The sequence below is a fragment of the Homo sapiens genome, chromosome 12 (genome assembly GCF_000001405.40).
Source record: "Homo sapiens chromosome 12, GRCh38.p14 Primary Assembly".
NCBI classification, from domain to species: Eukaryota; Metazoa; Chordata; class Mammalia; order Primates; family Hominidae; genus Homo; species Homo sapiens.
In genome coordinates this window covers 122,692,634-122,710,582 of record NC_000012.12, presented here as the reverse complement: position 1 = coordinate 122,710,582, position 17,949 = coordinate 122,692,634, and the positions used below count along the sequence as shown (strand labels likewise).

Here is a 17,949-nt window from a genome sequence, read left to right as displayed (position 1 = left end):
AACCAGTTCTGCCATCCCACCCAGGAACAGAAGACAGTAAGAAAACTCACTTTGACCCCTATGATTTCATCTCTAACCCAGACAATCAGCATTCCCCACTTCCCAAGCCCCTACCTGCCAAATTAGCCTTAAAAACGCTGATCCCGGATTCTCTGATTTGAATAATGATAAAACTCTGGTCTCTTGTACAGATGGCCCTGCAGGAATTAAACTTTATTGCAATTCCCCTGTCTTGTTTTTTTTTTTTTTTTTTTTTTCTTTTGAGACAGAGTTTCACAGGCTGGAGTGCAATGTCGTGATCTCAGCTCACTGTAACCTCTACCTCCCCGGTTCAAGCTATTCTCCTGCCTCACCCTCCCAAGTAGTAGGGATTACAAGCATGCACCACCATGTCCGGCTAATTTTGTATTTTTAGTAGAGATGGGTTTTCATCATGTTGGCCAGGCTGGTCTCAAATTTCTGACCTCAGGTGATCTGCCTGCCTTGGCTTCCCGGAATGTTATGATTACAGGCGTGAGCCACCTGGCCTGGCCCCGTCTTGATAAATTGGCTTTGTCTAGGCAGTGGACAAGGAGAACTCCACTGGGTGGTTGCAAATCTGGGGAGTCATCCGGGACCATCCTTGTGGATACCTGCCTGACGTTTGTTAGCCCTCCACCAGCGATGGATCTGGAGGCCCGCCCAAGTGGCAATTTAGTTCTTGGACTGGGGGCTAACTGTAGCACCGTCTCTACCAGCAGGGTGTTGCCAACTCATGGTGCATGGATTCAAATGCAATAAACAGTCCTGGGGAGATGTCCCGCTCCTGTAGCCCCATCATGGGTGTCTGATTTGGTGAGTATTCTAGGTGCTTCCAACAACCTCATCCTTCTGACCTGCTGGCCTCTCTGAAGGGGGTGTCTGCTCTAACTGGATCAAGAATAGGGGACTTGTTTGGAGGAACATTCTTGGTTTGTGATTTGGTCTGGAGTCTCTGTCTGCAAGTCCTTCTGCTTGTCTTTTTCACTTGAGTGTTTGTGTATGTACAGGAATTGCTGATGGAAGTCCAACAGGCTCTCCTAGTTTGTCTGGTCTGTCACATTTGCTGAACCCTGAAGGAACTGTTAGCGGAAGCGCAACAGGCCTGACTCGTGGTGATTTTCCATTGTTCTGGAAGCTGCAGGGAAAGGGAACCCAGAAATCTGGTATGCCAGCAAAGAGAGTAAGAACTTCTGACAAGCCAGGCTTCTGGTCTCTCTCTCTCTGTCTCTCTCTCACTCTCTCTCTCTGTGAATGGTAAACATCATTGTTTGTCTCCTCTGCAAGGGTTTGATTAATTGAAAAAAGGATTTATAACTGGGCACAGTGGCTGTAATTCCAGCACTTTGGGAGGTCGAGGTGGGCAGATCACCTGAGGTCGGGAAGTTCAAGACCAGCCTGGCCAACATGGTGAAGCCCCGTTTCTACTAAAAATACAAAAATTAGCCAGGCGTGGTGGCGGGTGCCTGTAATCCCAGCTACTCAGGAGCCTGAGGCAGGAGAATCGCTTGAACCCAGGAGGCAGAGGTTGCAGTGATCCGAGATCATGCCATTGCACTCCAGCCTGTGCGACAAGAGTGAGATGCTATCTCAAAAAAAAAAAAAAAAAAAAAAGCTCTTCAAGAAAACTGGCCTTGCCTGGCCAGCCGCCCCGTCCGGGAGGGAGGTGGGGGGGGTCGGCCCCCCGCCCAGCCAGCCGCCCCGTCGGGGAGGTGAGGGGCGCCTCTGCCCGGCCGCCCCTCCTGGGAAGTGAGGAGCCCCTCTGCCCGGCCACCACCCCGTCTGGGAGGTGTACCCAACCGCTCATTGAGAACGGGCCATGATGACAATGGCGGTTTTGTGGAATAGAAAGGCGGGAAAGGTGGGGAAAAGATTGAGAAATCGGATGATTGCCGTGTCTGTGTAGAAAGAGGTAGACATGGGAGACTTTTCATTTTGTTCTGTACTAAGAAAAATTCTTCTGCCTTGGGATCCTGTTGATCTGTGACCTTACCCCCAACCCTGTGCTCTCTGAAACATGTGCTGTGTCCACTCAGGGTTGAATGGATTAAGGGCGGTGCAAGATGTGCTTTGTTAAACAGATGCTTGAAGGCAGCACGCTCGTTAAGAGTCATCACCACTCCCTAATCTCAAGTACCCAGGGACACAAACACTGCGGAAGGCCGCAGGGTCCTCTGCCTAGGAAAACCAGAGACCTTTGTTCACTTGTTTATCTGCTGACCTTCCCTCCACTATTGTCCTGTGACCCTGCCAAATCCCCCTCCGCGAGAAACACCCAAGAATGATCAATAAAAAAAAAAAAAGAAAAAAAGAAAACTGGGCTTATACCTTGTATATGCAGTCTCTGTACAGGGTTCCTGACTTGTCATAAGTAAAGAATGTCACTTTCTGACAGGCCCAGAAGCCCAAATTATCTTGGGACCTTGAGAGGAGGAAAATTCTCCCAACTCATACAGGTATTTGCAGGCATAGATAAATCCATGGCTGGGCTAAAGGCTTTAAAAAGTATAAGGTGAGATTCCTTAGGGAATGAAATTTCAGCAAAGCTAATTTTGTTTTTATTTATTTATTTATTTTTGGGCCATGGCCTTGCTCTGTCATCCAGGCTCAGGCGATTCTCCCACCTCAGCCTCCCAAGTAGCTGAGACTACAGGCACGCGTCACCACACCTGGCTAATTTTTGTAGAGACGGGGATCTCGCTATGTTGCCCAGGCTGGTCTTGAACTCCTGGGCTCAAGTGTTTCTCCCACCTTGGCCTCCCAAAGTGCTGGGATTACAGGTGTAAGCCACCATGCCTGACCAGCAAAGCCAATTTTAAAGAGCCTATATGGCAAATAATTATTCTTGCTGTACGTTATACAAATAATCAGGCCAAGTATAATAAGACTAAGACTTATTTCGCAATTACATTTGTCCTACTACTATTTGTTTTTAATAAAAATGGGGACTAAAGAGAGAAAAACTATGTTTCAAAAGCTATAGTACACCCATTGTTAGATTCTAGTCTTGTCCACTGTTCTTGAGTTTTTGTTATTTTCTGCAATTTGGACTAAATCCTGAATTCTTTGTGGCTGCAGTGAGCTGTGATCACACCACTGCACTCCAGCCTGCGTGACAGAGTGAGACCCTGTTTCAAAAAAATTAAACCAGATTTTAAAAATTGTGTGTCACAGAGATAACCAGTTTTTCTTGTTGACTGCACCTTTAACTATGGCTGTCCTGAAGCTTACCTAACTAATGCTCCAAACTAATGTTTTCCAAACTAATGCTTTCACATTTTTCTTCCACTTTTCTGACTTGGACTCAATAAAATTGCTACTACCTTTTTTCCTGAGGCCCTGTAAGCTGAAGCTTATTCTTTTAATATAGGTGGCAAAAACATGTCAGATTACCACTGCCTTCCTGCTCTATAACTAAAGGTATTTTGAGTTTCACATCTGGATAAATTGTGCCCAACATTAACTTTTGTTTTTCTTATATTTCCATAGAAATGCCTCGTATTAAAAATCTGTTTGTCTTCATCATGTATAGAGGCCTAGCCCGTGTGCAATGCCACCTCCTGATATGGGAAACAGCTGTTTAACTGAACTGATCTAGTCCCAGGACTAGGAAACTGATTAATAATATATGGGACAGTGTATTTAAACTTGCTCCTTCCTGGCTGACTATAGGTGCATTGCCTATGAGTTAGCCCTGATCCACAAGGAGCAGTACCAAATAAAATAAAGTAAAATAAAATGAAATTCACTCATTCTTGTCTATCCCAATATGTTTGTCCAAAAACCTTTGACCCAACTCTCTCTGCTAGTGACCCATGTCTGACTGATTCTTGGAGCTATTCACCTGGATCCCTCAGAGCTTAAGATCAATTCTACAAAGGCTTCTTCTTCTTTTTTTTTTTTTTTCCATAGACAAAGTCTCACTTTATTGCCTAGACTAGTCTTGAACTCCTGGGCTCAAGCAATCCTCCTGCCTTGGTCTCCCAAAGTGCTGGGATTATAGGCATGAACCACCACGCCTGTGTTTGTTGTTGTTTTTTTTTTTTTGAGACAGAGTTTCCCTCTTGTTGCCCAGGCTGTAGTGCAATGGTGTGATCTCGGCTCACCGCAACCTCCGCCTCCTGGGTCCCAGTTCAAGCAGTTCTCCTGCCTCAGCCTCCTGAGTATCTGGGATTACAGGCATGTGCCACCACACCCAGCTAAATTTTGTATTTTAGTAGAGATGGGGTTTCACCATGTTGACCAGGCTGGTATCAAACTCCTGACCTCGTGATCCACCCACCTCAGCCTCCAAAAGTGCTGGGATTACAGGCGTGAGCCACCGTGCCCGGCTTTTTTTTTTTTTTTTTTTTTTTTTGGTGGAGTCTCACTCTGTCACCCAGGCTGCAGTGCAGTGGCACAATCTCGGTTCTCTGCAACCTCCAACTCCCTGGTTCAAGCGATTCTCCTGCCTCAGCCTCCCAAGTAGTTGGGATTATAGGCGCCCGCCACCACACCCAGCTAATTTTTGTAAATTTTAGTAGAGACGGGGTTTCACCATATTGGCCAAGATGGTCTGGATCTCCTGACCTTGTGATCCTCCCGTCTCGGCCTCCCAAAGTGTTGGGATTACAGGCGTGAGCCACCATGCCCGGCCATGCTCTGCTCTTATGAGCTGGGTGGCCCTGAATATTTTATCCTCTCTGAGCTTCACTTTCCTCATTTTGAAATCAGAATCAGTAATAATACCTTCCACATGGGCTACAGTCAGGGTGAAACAAGCAACTATAAAAGCACTGAGCTCCTGGCTAACACGGTGAAATCCCGTCTCTACTAAAAATATAAAAAATTAGCTGGGCATGGTGGTGGGTGCCTGTAGTCCCAGCTACTCGGGAGGCTGAGGCAGCATGGCGTGAACCCGGGAGGCGGAGCTTGCAGTGAGGCAAGAGCGAGACTTTGTCTCAAAAAAAAAAAAGCACTGAGTATGGGTTCCAGCACATGGGAAGCTCTCTATAATGTAGGTGCCACCATCATCTTCTTCATCATCGTCTTCATCTCACCTGGATCATCATCAAGTACTTGTAGTTCTATGGGAATCTAATATTAGGTCATCCTGACTCTAGTTTACTGTGAAGAGTCTATAAGCTCCTATTATTGAACCTGCGTTTGCAGCTAAAGAAATAAATTGACATCTTATGGTGGCAGCGATGGTTCACACCTGCAATCCCAGCATTTTGGGATGCCAAGGCGGGAGGATCACTTGAAGTCAGGAGTTCAAGACCAGCCTGGCCAAAATGGTGAAATCCATCTCTACTAAAAATACAAAAATTAGCCAGGCATGGTGGCTTGCACCTGTAGTCTCAGCTACTTGGGAGGCTGAGGCAGGAGAATGGCATGAACCCGGGAGGCAGAGGTTGCAGTGAGCCAAGATCATGCCACTGCACTCCAGCCTGGGCGACAGAGCGAAACTCCATCTCAAAAGAAAAAACAGAAAAAAAAAAAAAAAGGAAGAAATTTACATTTTATAACTCAAAGTAGAAGGAACACAATTTAGAAACCTCCTGCATGGAAGAATTCATAAGACCAAAATATTAAAGGGAGAAAACATTCTATAGGATGACACCCAATCGCACTGACAAGCAGAGAAACAATGTGTGCAATGGTGTCCCGCTACAAGGCGGGGTTCCATGTCCTCTTAGGTCCTGTCACTCTAAGTTTAATTTTACAAAAATGGGGGCTTTGAAAATATCACATACTTAGTGGGGGAGGTTTTGCGTGTGTGGAGACAGAGTGCACAGGACCGTCCGTACTTTCTGCTCCATTTTGCTGTGAATCTAACACTGCCCCAAAAAATAAAGTTCATTAAAAAAAATCACGGCCAGGCGCGGTGGCTCACGCCTGTAATCCCAGCACTTTGGGAGGCCGAGGCAGACGGATCACAAGGTCAGGAGTTTGAGACCAGCCTGGCCAACACAGTGAAACCTCGTCTTTACTAAAAATACAAAAAATTAGCTGGGCGTGGTGGCGCACGCCTGTAGTCCCAGATACTCAGGAGGCTGAGGCAGAAGAATTGCTTGAACCTGGGAGGCGGAGGTTGCAGTGAGCTGAGATTGTTCCACCGTTCTCCAGCCTGGGTGACAGAGTGAGACTCTGTCTCAAAAAAAAAAAATCACATCCTAAGGTCCCAAGGACATAAAACAAGTTAGAGACCTCATCCAGTTTTTTGTTTGTTTCAGGGACCTGCAACCAACTTTCTTACTGACCAGTTTCCTGGGCTGTCTAGAACAGACAGCTTATGGGGTACTAACCCCATGCTCTATCCTAAGGTACCCCTCTTCATGCAGAGCGACACAGAAAAACAAATTTGTAGCACAAAGTACACCCGATTTGCTACAGCTTACGACTAGCCTCATGAATCCTTTTTCTCATTAATTCAAAGTTTGCAAAAAAAAGAAATCACATACTTAAAAATAAATCACTTGAGCACAGAAGCATATCAAAATCTAATATAAACAAACAAAAAACCCAACTTATGTTAACATGCCACTGAAACTGGGCTCAAGTTTTCAAATGTCTTATGAAATATTACACTCTCCAGCAGGCTATTTTTTTTTTCCTAACTGGAGATGAATGGCAGAGTTCTGATATGGAAAAGCACTCCATGTTTGTACAGAAAGGTAGCATAGGAAAAGTGGTCAAATTCAACCAGTCTGTCCTCATCAAACAGGCAACTACTGTCTTCTCAGCATTTCCAAAAGAAATCATATGTCTGCTACTGTTTATGTCATATGCCTGTTAATTTTTCATGCTAATTCTTAGTGTTTCTGGAAAACCTCACTGTTTGGCACCAAAAATTGTTATTGCTATTGTTGTTGTTTTGTTAATTATGTCAGCCAAGCAGATGACGGTGAATTAATTCTGCAACGTTGAGTACTCAGTTGGCATACAAGCACCCAGCCTTCCAAAGGGATGTCCTTCATGTTTCACTGATTTTCGAATGACAGTCGGCTTGCCTAAACTTATCCTTTACATTTAAGACATTTTGTGGGTTCCCGTCTGCCCAGGGGATTCTTATTACTTGTTTATGCAAACAGCAGGTTGCATAAGAGCCTTGCTGGCTTTTTTTTTTTTTTTTTTTTTTAGAGATTTCGTAGTTTCCTGGTAACCATTCAGTCATCTATTTCAACACCCTGACATGACATAAAGGCAGGCGTGGAACCACACGTTCACCACACAGACACACACCTCCTTGCTGGAGCATTCACTAGGCGAGGCGCTCCATCGGACTCACTAGCCGCACTCATGAATCGGCACCATCTGCAGGATCACTTTCTGGAAATAGACAAGAAGAACTGCTGTGTGTTCCGAGATGACTTCATTGTCAAGGTGTTGCCGCCGGTGTTGGGGCTGGAGTTTATCTTCGGGCTTCTGGGCAATGGCCTTGCCCTGTGGATTTTCTGTTTCCACCTCAAGTCCTGGAAATCCAGCCGGATTTTCCTGTTCAACCTGGCAGTGGCTGACTTTCTACTGATCATCTGCCTGCCCTTCCTGATGGACAACTATGTGAGGCGTTGGGACTGGAAGTTTGGGGACATCCCTTGCCGGCTGATGCTCTTCATGTTGGCTATGAACCGCCAGGGCAGCATCATCTTCCTCACGGTGGTGGCGGTAGACAGGTATTTCCGGGTGGTCCATCCCCACCACGCCCTGAACAAGATCTCCAATCGGACAGCAGCCATCATCTCTTGCCTTCTGTGGGGCATCACTATTGGCCTGACAGTCCACCTCCTGAAGAAGAAGATGCCGATCCAGAATGGCGGTGCAAATTTGTGCAGCAGCTTCAGCATCTGCCATACCTTCCAGTGGCACGAAGCCATGTTCCTCCTGGAGTTCTTCCTGCCCCTGGGCATCATCCTGTTCTGCTCAGCCAGAATTATCTGGAGCCTGCGGCAGAGACAAATGGACCGGCATGCCAAGATCAAGAGAGCCATCACCTTCATCATGGTGGTGGCCATCGTCTTTGTCATCTGCTTCCTTCCCAGCGTGGTTGTGCGGATCCGCATCTTCTGGCTCCTGCACACTTCGGGCACGCAGAATTGTGAAGTGTACCGCTCGGTGGACCTGGCGTTCTTTATCACTCTCAGCTTCACCTACATGAACAGCATGCTGGACCCCGTGGTGTACTACTTCTCCAGCCCATCCTTTCCCAACTTCTTCTCCACTTTGATCAACCGCTGCCTCCAGAGGAAGATGACAGGTGAGCCAGATAATAACCGCAGCACGAGCGTCGAGCTCACAGGGGACCCCAACAAAACCAGAGGCGCTCCAGAGGCGTTAATGGCCAACTCCGGTGAGCCATGGAGCCCCTCTTATCTGGGCCCAACCTCTCCTTAAATAACCATGCCAAGAAGGGACATTGTCACCAAGAACCAGGATCTCTGGAGAAACAGTTGGGCTGTTGCATCGAGTAATGTCACTGGACTCGGCCTAAGGTTTCCTGGAACTTCCAGATTCAGAGAATGCGATTTAGGGAAACGGTGGCAGATGAGTGGGAGACTGGTTGCAAGGTGTGACCGCAGGAATCCTGGAGGAATAGAGAGTAAAGCTTCTAGGCATCTGAAACTTTTGCTTCATCTCTGACGCTCGCAGGACTGAAGATGGGCAAATTGTAGGCATTTCTGCTGAGCAGAGTTGGAGCCAGAGATCTACTTGTGACTTGTTGGCCTTCTTCCCACATCTGCCTCAGACTGGAGGGGGCTCAGCTCCTGGGGTGATATCTAGCCTGCTTGTGAGCTCTAGCAGGGATAAGGAGAGCTGAGATTGGAGGGAATTGTGTTGCTCCTGGAGGGAGCCCAGGCATCATTAAACAAGCCAGTAGGTCACCTGGCTTCCGTGGACCAATTCATCTTTCAGACAAGCTTTAGCAGAAATGGACTCAGGGAAGAGACTCACACGCTTTGGTTAATATCTGTGTTTCCGGTGGGTGTAATAGGGGATTAGCCCCAGAAGGGACTGAGCTAAACAGTGTTATTATGGGAAAGGAAATGGCATTGCTGCTTTCAACCAGCGACTAATGCAATCCATTCCTCTCTTGTTTATAGTAATCTAAGGGTTGGGCAGTTAAAACGGCTTCAGGATAGAAAGCTGTTTCCCACCTCTGTTTGCTTTTAACATTAAAAGGGAAATGTGCCTCTGCCCCACAGTTAGAGGGGTGCACGTTCCTCCTGGTTCCTTCGCTTGTGTTTCTGTACTTACCAAAAATCTACCATTTCAATAAATTTTGATAGGAGACAGTCTGGCGTTGCTATATCTGGGTTATGGTTCACAGAAATGGACTTCTTACTTAAGCAGAGACCTTTATGGGTTGTTAACTCTGTCCTGGTAGAAAACTACTCCACACTGCAAAGTAAGAAAGAGACACAGACACTGAGCTACATCATGAAACAACTAAGCAGAAATTACACCTGTGTCTAAACAAAGATAGAAAGAGCTGGGATTAAAAATAATTTGGAAGGATAGTACAGATAGGATCGCAAGAGCACTTACATTTTATTAGAGTTTGGTGAATATTGCTCTTAGTATTTGTGCATTAAACAGGGAATCAAGGCCAGGTGCAATGGTTCATGCCTGTAATCCCAGCACTTTGAGGGGACCGAGGTGGGCAGATCACCCTGAGGTCAGGAGTTTGAGACCAGCCTGGACAACATGGCGAAACCCCACTTCTACTAAAAATACAAGAAAAATTAGCCAGGCATGGTGGCGGCCGCTTGTAGTCCCAGCTACTGGGAAGGCTGGGGGAAGAAGAATTGCTTGAACCCAGGAGGCGGAGGTTGCAGTGAGCCGAGGTGGTGTGCCTGCACTCCAGCCTGGGGGACAGAGCAAGACTTCATCTCAAATAATAATAATAAATAATATAAAAAGGGAATCAAGCCAGGCAGATATTTTTCCATAGGAGGGGGAAGAGCGAGCTTCCTATGGAATGGTTTCAGTTCCCAATTCAGAGAAGGAAAGGAGATGTACTGGTTTGAGTCTGTGATCAGTCCAAGTTTCTGTTACGCTTTCATTTCTAACTCTGTCAGTCCTTGATTATTTGGCAAGACGAGGCTTGCTTCAACCTCCTGACATGAACACAGATAAGGAATTTAGAGACAGGCTCCCAGCTCTGGGTGAATGACAGTAAATGAAGAAAGGTGGATGCTCTGGAATTACCTCTGTGCTTTCAGAGCAGTTGGCTTGTCTGTATCACCAAGCAATGTACAGGTAAAAAGCCAAAAGCAAGGATCACCTTAAAGAGGAAGAGATGTCAGGGATGAGCTCAGAGGAAAATAGGGATTCCCCAGCCTCGGAGGCATGAGTCAGTGGGGAGCCTCGTTGTGAAACGCGGATTCGTTCAAGGGATGAGGTGGTTTGGGGTGTTTGGACCTCCACAGCTCACATTCATTCACTGATTCAGGCATTCCATCAGTTCTTTGTTTTTTTTTTTTTTTTGAGACCGAGTCTCACTCTGTCATCTAGGCTGGAGTGCAGTGGTGTGATCTGGGTTCACTGCAGCCTCTGCCTCCTGGGTTCAAGTGATTCTCCTACCTCAGCCCCCCCAGTAGCTGGGATTACAGGTGTGCACCACCATGCCTGGCTAATTTTTGTATTTTTAGTAGAGGTGGGGTCTCGCCATGTTGCCCAGGCTGGTCTTGAACTCCTGACCTCAGGTGATCCACCTGCCTCAGCCTCCCAAAGTGCTGGGATTACAGGTGTGAGCCACTGTGCCCAGCCTCATTCCATCAGTTTTATGTATTAAGCACCAACTGTGTGCCAGGCGCTGTTCTGGGTGGTGGAGATAGAACAAGAAACAAGGCAGCCACAGTCCTCTTCTCATCGAGCTGACTTTTGGAGTGGGGAGACAGGCAGGAATAAAAAGGAGCCTTGGGGTGGCTATGGGTGTCATGACTATGGTGGAGTGGGACAATGGGGATAAAAAGTAACCGGGGCTGGGGTGACTGGGATGGCTTCTATGAGGCATTGACCCTGAGCTGAGCCATGAATGACTAAACAGAAAAGCAATGCAAAAGTCTGGGGGAAAGACACGCCAAGCAGAGGGAATGGTAAGTGCAAAGGCCCTGAGGTGAGAATTAGGTTGGTGACTGCGTGTTCATTTCCTGTGGCTGGGTGGCTTGGAACAATAGAAATGTATTCTCCCACAGATCTAGAAGCTAGAAGTGCAGAATCAAGGTGTTGGCAGGGTTGGTTCCATCTGGAGGCTAAGGGAAAATGTTTCATGCCTCACTCCGAGCTTTCGGAGACTGCTGGCACTCTTGGACTTTCCTTGGCTTGTAGACGCTTCACTCCAATCTCTGCCCCTGTCACCACATGGTGGTCCCCTCTGTGTCCTCTCTTCTTACAGACACCTGTCTTTTCTTCTCTTTTTTTTTTGGTCTGTATTTGAGACAGAGTCTCGCTCTGTCACCCAGGCTGGAATGCAGTGGCTTCATCTCGGCTCACTGCAACTCTGCCTCCCGGGCTCAAGCGGTTCTCCTTCCTCAGCCTCTCACACAGCTGGGATTATAGGCATGCACCCCCACACCTGTCTAATTTTTCTATTTTTAGTAGAGACAGGGTTTTGCCATGTTGGCTAGGCTGGTCTTGAACTCCTGACCTCAGGTGATCCACCTGCCTCAGCCTCCCAAAGTGTTGGGATTACAGGTGTGATCCAGCAGGCCTGGCCATAAATATGCCTGTCTTTATAACCCACCCTAATCCAGGATGCTCTCATCTTGAGATCTTTACCTTAGTTATACCTACAAAGACCCTTATTCCAAATAAGGTTGTATTCTAAGGTTTGGGGTGAACATAGCTGTTGGGAACCAGAACTCAACCGACTATAGTGAGGAACAATGTGGCCAGCATGATGAGCGTGGGGCCTGCCATATAGTGAGGTTGTGATCCTCTTTCAGACAAAAGTAATGAAAGACTTGAGATGAAGATCATACTATATTTAAATGAAAAAGTTTCTAAACAGAATATGATATCCATTTTCTTTTAAAATACGTGTATCTGTGTACTTGTGTGTGGAACAACAGACTACAAGAATATACACCAGGCCGGGCACAGTGGCTCACCCCTGTAACCTCAGCACTTTTGGAGGCCAAAGCGGGTGGATCATGTGAGCCCAGGAGTTCAAGACCAGCCTGGGCAACATAGCAAGACTCCATCTGTACAAAAAATGTAAATATTTAGCCAGGCATGGTGGCACACACATGCAGTCCTAGCTACTTGGGAGGCTGTGGTGGGAGGATCACTTGAGCCCAGGAGTTTGAGGCTGCCATGAGCTATGATCAGGCCACTGCACTCCAGCCAGGGTGACAGAGTAAGAACTTGTCTCAAAAAAAAAAAAAAAGAAGAAAGAAAGAGAGAGAGAGAGATGAAAGAAAGAAAGAAAGAAAGAAAGAAAGAAAGAAAGAAAGAAAGAAAGAAAGAAAGAAAGAAAGAAAGAAAAGAAAGTAAGAAAGAAAGGAAGAAAAGAAGAAAAAAGCAAGCAAGCAAGCAAGCAAGCAAGCAAGCAAGAGACACTCTGATACTCAGGCTGAGCCATTGGAAAGTATCTTCTACATTTCCTGTGTGTGTGTTTGTGTGTGTGTGTGAAACGAGAGAGAGGAAGAGGAAGACAGAATTTATGTATGTAGATCTGTCTATGTGTCTATATATTGGAAAAGGTGGTTATAATCATATATGCATCTATTTTGCATTACTGCCTTTAAACCTGTCTTGCAGCTGTTTATTTTGGGGGCTTAGTTCTTAGGGTCACAAGATTCATGAGTTCACTCTCTGGTATGTAGACCAGAACTTCCTCACAGCTCTTCCCAACAATCTCTTTCCAGCATCAAGAGATTATCTCTAAGTCTAGATCCATAAAGTCAGGGGAGCAAGATCATGTTCATTTCTGATTCTTTGAGCTCCCTTCCCTTTCGAGGTTCATTCTCTTATTTGCCCCACAATGCCTTACCTGAAGTGAGTGCGAAATCGCCTTTGCAAAAATTATAACTGAGAAAATTATGATGGTGAAATAGATCTAACCTCACTCCATCTTTCTTCTAACCTCCAAGCTGTCCTCGTTCAGTACTGGGCATAGGCCAAACTAACTTTGGGAGGAACTTGTTTATAGGTTAACTTTGAAACAAAGACAATAACAGCCCTTTCCCAAAACGAACCCCCTTCCTGCCTGAGGGCTAGACTGCCTTTGCAGGACTAACAAATTAGCTATAAGATTAGAAATTACGGTTTACAAGCCACGCAACCTCTGGCTGCAAGATTCTGAACCTTCCCAAATTGCTCCTGGGAATAACATCACTGTTGCAAAACCTAAAATCAGTGCTTGAGGTATTTTGCAGAACCCTGCACTCTGATGCACCCCCTGACACCACCCAGTCCAGTAATCTGGCTCAACCAGTTCTGCCATCCCACCCAGGAACAGAAGACAATAAGAAAATTCACTTTGACCCCTATGATTTCATTTCTAACCCAGCCAACCAGCATTCCCCACTTCCCAAGCCCCTACCCACCAAATTAGCCTTAAAAACTCTGATCCTGGATTCTCTGATTTGAATAATGATAAAACTCTGGTCTCTTGTACAGATGGCCCTGCAGGAATTAAACTTTATTGCAATTCCCCTGTCTTGTTTTTTTTTTTTTTCTTTTGAGACAGAGTTTCACAGGCTGGAGTGCAATGTCGTGATCTCAGCTCACTGCAACCTCTACCTCCCCGGTTCAAGCTATTCTCCTGCCTCACCCTCCCAAGTAGTAGGGATTACAAGCATGCACCACCATGTCCGGCTAATTTTGTATTTTTAGTAGAGACGGGTGTTCATCATGTTGGCCAGGCTGGTCTCAAACTTCTGACCTCAGGTGATCTGCCTGCCTTGGCTTCCCAAAATGTTATGATTACAGGTGTGAGCCATCGGCCCGGCCCCCTGTCTTGATAAATTGGCTTTGTCTAGGCAGTGGACAAGGAGAACTCCACTGGGTGGTTGCAAATCTGGGGAGTCATCCGGGACCATCCTTGTGGATACCTGCCTGACGTTTGTTAGCCCTCCACCAGCGATGGATCTGGAGGCCCGCCCAAGTGGCAATTTAGTTCTTGGACTGGGGGCTAACTGTAGCACCGTCTCTACCAGCAGGGTGTTGCCAACTCATGGTGCATGGATTCAAATGCAATAAACAGTCCTGGGGAGATGTCCCGCTCCTGTAGCCCCATCATGGGTGTCTGATTTGGTGAGTATTCTAGGTGCTTCCAACAACCTCATCCTTCTGACCTGCTGGCCTCTCTGAAGGGGGTGTCTGCTCTAACTGGATCAAGAATAGGGGACTTGTTTGGAGGAACATTCTTGGTTTGTGATTTGGTCTGGAGTCTCTGTCTGCAAGTCCTTCTGCTTGTCTTTTTCACTTGAGTGTTTGTGTATGTACAGGAATTGCTGATGGAAGTCCAACAGGCTCTCCTAGTTTGTCTGGTCTGTCACATTTGCTGAACCCTGAAGGAACTGTTAGCGGAAGCGCAACAGGCCTGACTCGTGGTGATTTTCCATTGTTCTGGAAGCTGCAGGGAAAGGGAACCCAGAAATCTGGTATGCCAGCAAAGAGAGTAAGAACTTCTGACAAGCCAGGCTTCTGGTCTCTCTCTCTCTGTCTCTCTCTCACTCTCTCTCTCTGTGAATGGTAAACATCATTGTTTGTCTCCTCTGCAAGGGTTTGATTAATTGAAAAAGGGATTTATAACTGGGCACAGTGGCTGTAATTCCAGCACTTTGGGAGGTCGAGGTGGGCAGATCACCTGAGGTCGGGAAGTTCAAGACCAGCCTGGCCAACATGGTGAAGCCCCGTTTCTACTAACAATACAAAAATTAGCCAGGCGTGGTGGCGGGTGCCTGTAATCCCAGCTACTCAGGAGCCTGAGGCAGGAGAATCGCTTGAACCCAGGAGGCAGAGGTTGCAGTGATCCGAGATCATGCCATTGCACTCCAGCCTGGGCGACAAGAGTAAGACTCCATCTCAAAAAAAAAAAAAGCTCTTCAAGAAAACTGGCCTTATACCTTGTATATGCAGTCTCTATACAGGGTTCCTGACTTGTCGTAAGTAAAGAATGTCACTTTCTGACAGGCCCAGAAGCCCAAATTATCTTGGGACCTTGAGAGGAGGAAAATTCTCCCAACTCATACAGGTATTTGCAGGCATAGATAAATCCATGGCTGGGCTAAAGGCTTTAAAAAGTATAAGGTGAGATTCCTTAGGGAATGAAATTTCAGGAAAGCTAATTTTGTTTTTATTTATTTATTTATTTTTGGGCCACGGCCTTGCTCTGTCATCCGGGCTCAGGCGATTCTCCCACCTCAGCCTCCCAAGTAGCTGGGACTACAGGCACGCGTCACCACACCTGGCTAATTTTTGTAGAGACGGGGATCTCGCTATGTTGCCCAGGCTGGTCTTGAACTCCTGGGCTCAAGTGTTTCTCCCACCTTGGCCTCCCAAAGTGCTGGGATTGCAGGTGTAAGCCACCATGCCTGACCAGCAAAGCCAATTTTAAAGAGCCTATATGGCAAATAATTATTCTTGCTGTATGTTATACAAATAATCAGGCCAAGTATAATAAGACTAAGACTTATTTTGCAATTACATGTGTCCTACTATTATTTGTTTTTAATAAAAATGGGGACTAAAGAGAGAAAAACTATGTTTCAAAAGCTATAGTACACCCATTGTTAGATTCTAGTCCACTGTTCTTGAGTTTTTGTTATTTTCTGCAATTTGGACTAAATCCTGAATTCTTTGTGGCTGCAGTGAGCTGTGATCACACCACTGCACTCCAGCCTGCGTGACAGAGTGAGACCCTGTTTCAAAAAAATTAAACTAAATTTTAAAAATTGTTGTGTGTCACAGAGATAACCAGTTTTTCTTGTTGACTGCACCTTTAACTATGGCTGTCCTGAAGCTAATGAACTAATGCTCCAAACTAATGTTTTCCAAACTAATGCTTTCACATTTTTCTTCCACTTTTCTGACTTGGACTCAATAAAATTGCTACTACCTTTTTTCCTGAGACCCTGTAAGCTGAAGTTTATTCTTTTAATATAGGAGGCAAAAACATGTCAGATTACGACTGCCTTCCTGCTCTATAACTAAAGGTATTTTGAGTTTCACATCTGGATAAATTGTGCCCAACATTAACTTTTGTTTTTCTTGTATTTCCTCCATTTTAATACAAGAAATGCCTCGTATTAAAAATCTGTTTGTCTTCATCACATATAGAGGCCTAGCCCATGTGCAATGCCACCTCCTGATATGGGAAACAGCTGTTTAACTGAACTGATCTAGTCCCAGGACTAGGAAACTGACTAATAATATATGGGACAGTGTATTTAAATTTGCTCCTTCCTGGCTGACTATAGGTGCATTGCCAATGAGTTAGTCCTGATCCACAAGGAGCAGTACCAAATAAAATAAAGTAAAATAAAATGAAATTCACTCATTCTTGTCTATCCCGATATGTTTGTCCAACAACCTCTGACCCAACTCTCTCTGCTAATGACCCATGTCTGATTGGTTCTTGGAGCTATTCACCTGGATCCCTCAGAGCTTAAGATCAATTCTACAAAGGCTTCTTTTTTTTTTTCTTCTTTTTTTTCATAGACAAAGTCTCACTTTATTGCCTAGACTAGTCTTGAACTCCTGGGCTCAAGCGATCCTCCTGCCTTGGTCTCCCAAAGTGCTGGGATTACAGGCATGAACCACCACGCCCGGGCTCTACAAAGGCTTCTGAAGCTAGGACTTTCACTCCTTAACCTAGGACTCATTATATACCTTATAGTTAACTACTCATTTAAACACTATGTTAAAACTCTAGGTAAGAATACTAACACCTTACTCCTGCAAGCCTCAAAACCCCAACCAGGCACCATGAGTCCAGGCAGACAGCTGCAAAGCAATTCCACTCCTCTTACCTTGGGGTCAACACCCGCCCTAACTACACTCCTGTCAGGAAAAAGGAGCTAAAGCAGTCTTTGCCCTTTTTCCATCTCACAGCTCACACCTGAAGAATAAGGTTGTTACAGTCCAGGTGCAGTGGCTCACACCTGTAATCCCAGCACTTTGGGAGGCCGAGGCGGGTGGATCATGAGGTCAGGAGATCAAGACCATCCTGGCCAACATGGTGAAAACCAGTCTCTACTAAAAATACACAAATTAGCCGGGCGTGGTGGCACATGCCTGTAATCCCAGCTACTCGGGAGGCTGAGGCAGGAGAAACGCTTGAACCAGGAATTGGAGGTTGCGGTGAGCTGAGCTTGTGCCACTGCACTTCAGCCTGGCAGCAGAGCGAGACTCTGTCTAAAAAAAAAAAAAGGGAATAAGGTTGTTATGAAACCCAAAGTGAGGGATTGAAACAACCTTTGCAAAAATTATAACTGAGAAAATTATGATAGTGAAACAGATCTGACCTGACTGACTCCATCTTGCTTCTGAACTCCAAGCTGTCCTTGTTCCTTGCTGGGGCATAGGCCGAACTCACTTTGGGAGGAAATTGTTTAACTTTGAAACAAAAGACATTAACAGCCCTTTCCCAAAACAAACCCCCTTCCTGCCGGGGGACTAGACTGCCTTAGCAGGACTAACACATTGGACAGATTAGCAATTATGGTTTAAGAGTCATGCAGCCTCTGGCTGCAAGATTCCGAACCTCCTCAAACTGCTCCTGAGGATAATGTCACTATTGTTAGATGTAAGATCAGTGCTTGAGATATTTTGCAGACCCTGTACTCGATGGATCAGCTGGCACCACCCGGATCGATAAACTGGCTCATCTGGTCTTGTGGCCCTCACCCAGGAACTGATTCAGGACAAGAGGACATCTTTGACTCCCTGTGATTTCATCTCCAACCTGACCAATCAGCACTCCCCACTTTCTGAACCGCT

General features: G+C 46.0%; 1 protein-coding gene and 2 non-coding genes across 3 annotated transcripts, besides 1 other annotated feature; all 3 read left to right on the top strand.

Moving 5' to 3' along the window:
• Positions 1-1,158: 1,158 nt before the first annotated feature.
• On the top strand, positions 1,159-1,251 carry MIR9902-2 (microRNA 9902-2). The gene has a single exon (NR_162150.1). It is a non-coding gene; the product is annotated as a microRNA 9902-2 (primary transcript).
• Positions 2,255-2,455: a silencer, noted in NCBI's record as "peak2022 fragment used in MPRA reporter construct". NCBI's record gives its function as "represses an SCP1 promoter by STARR-seq MPRAs in K562 erythroleukemia cells {active_cell/tissue: K562}" and the evidence as "EXISTENCE:reporter gene assay evidence [ECO:0000049][PMID:32103011]".
• HCAR2 (hydroxycarboxylic acid receptor 2) lies at positions 7,226-9,290 on the top strand. The gene has a single exon (NM_177551.4). It carries the CDS (start codon positions 7,300-7,302, stop codon positions 8,389-8,391), a length of 1,092 nt encoding a protein of 363 aa, NP_808219.1. The 5' UTR covers positions 7,226-7,299; the 3' UTR covers positions 8,392-9,290.
• Positions 9,291-14,583: 5,293 nt separating this feature from the next.
• Positions 14,584-14,676, top strand: MIR9902-1 (microRNA 9902-1). The gene has a single exon (NR_162094.1). It is a non-coding gene; the product is annotated as a microRNA 9902-1 (primary transcript).
• The last annotated feature ends 3,273 nt before the right edge of the window (positions 14,677-17,949 follow it).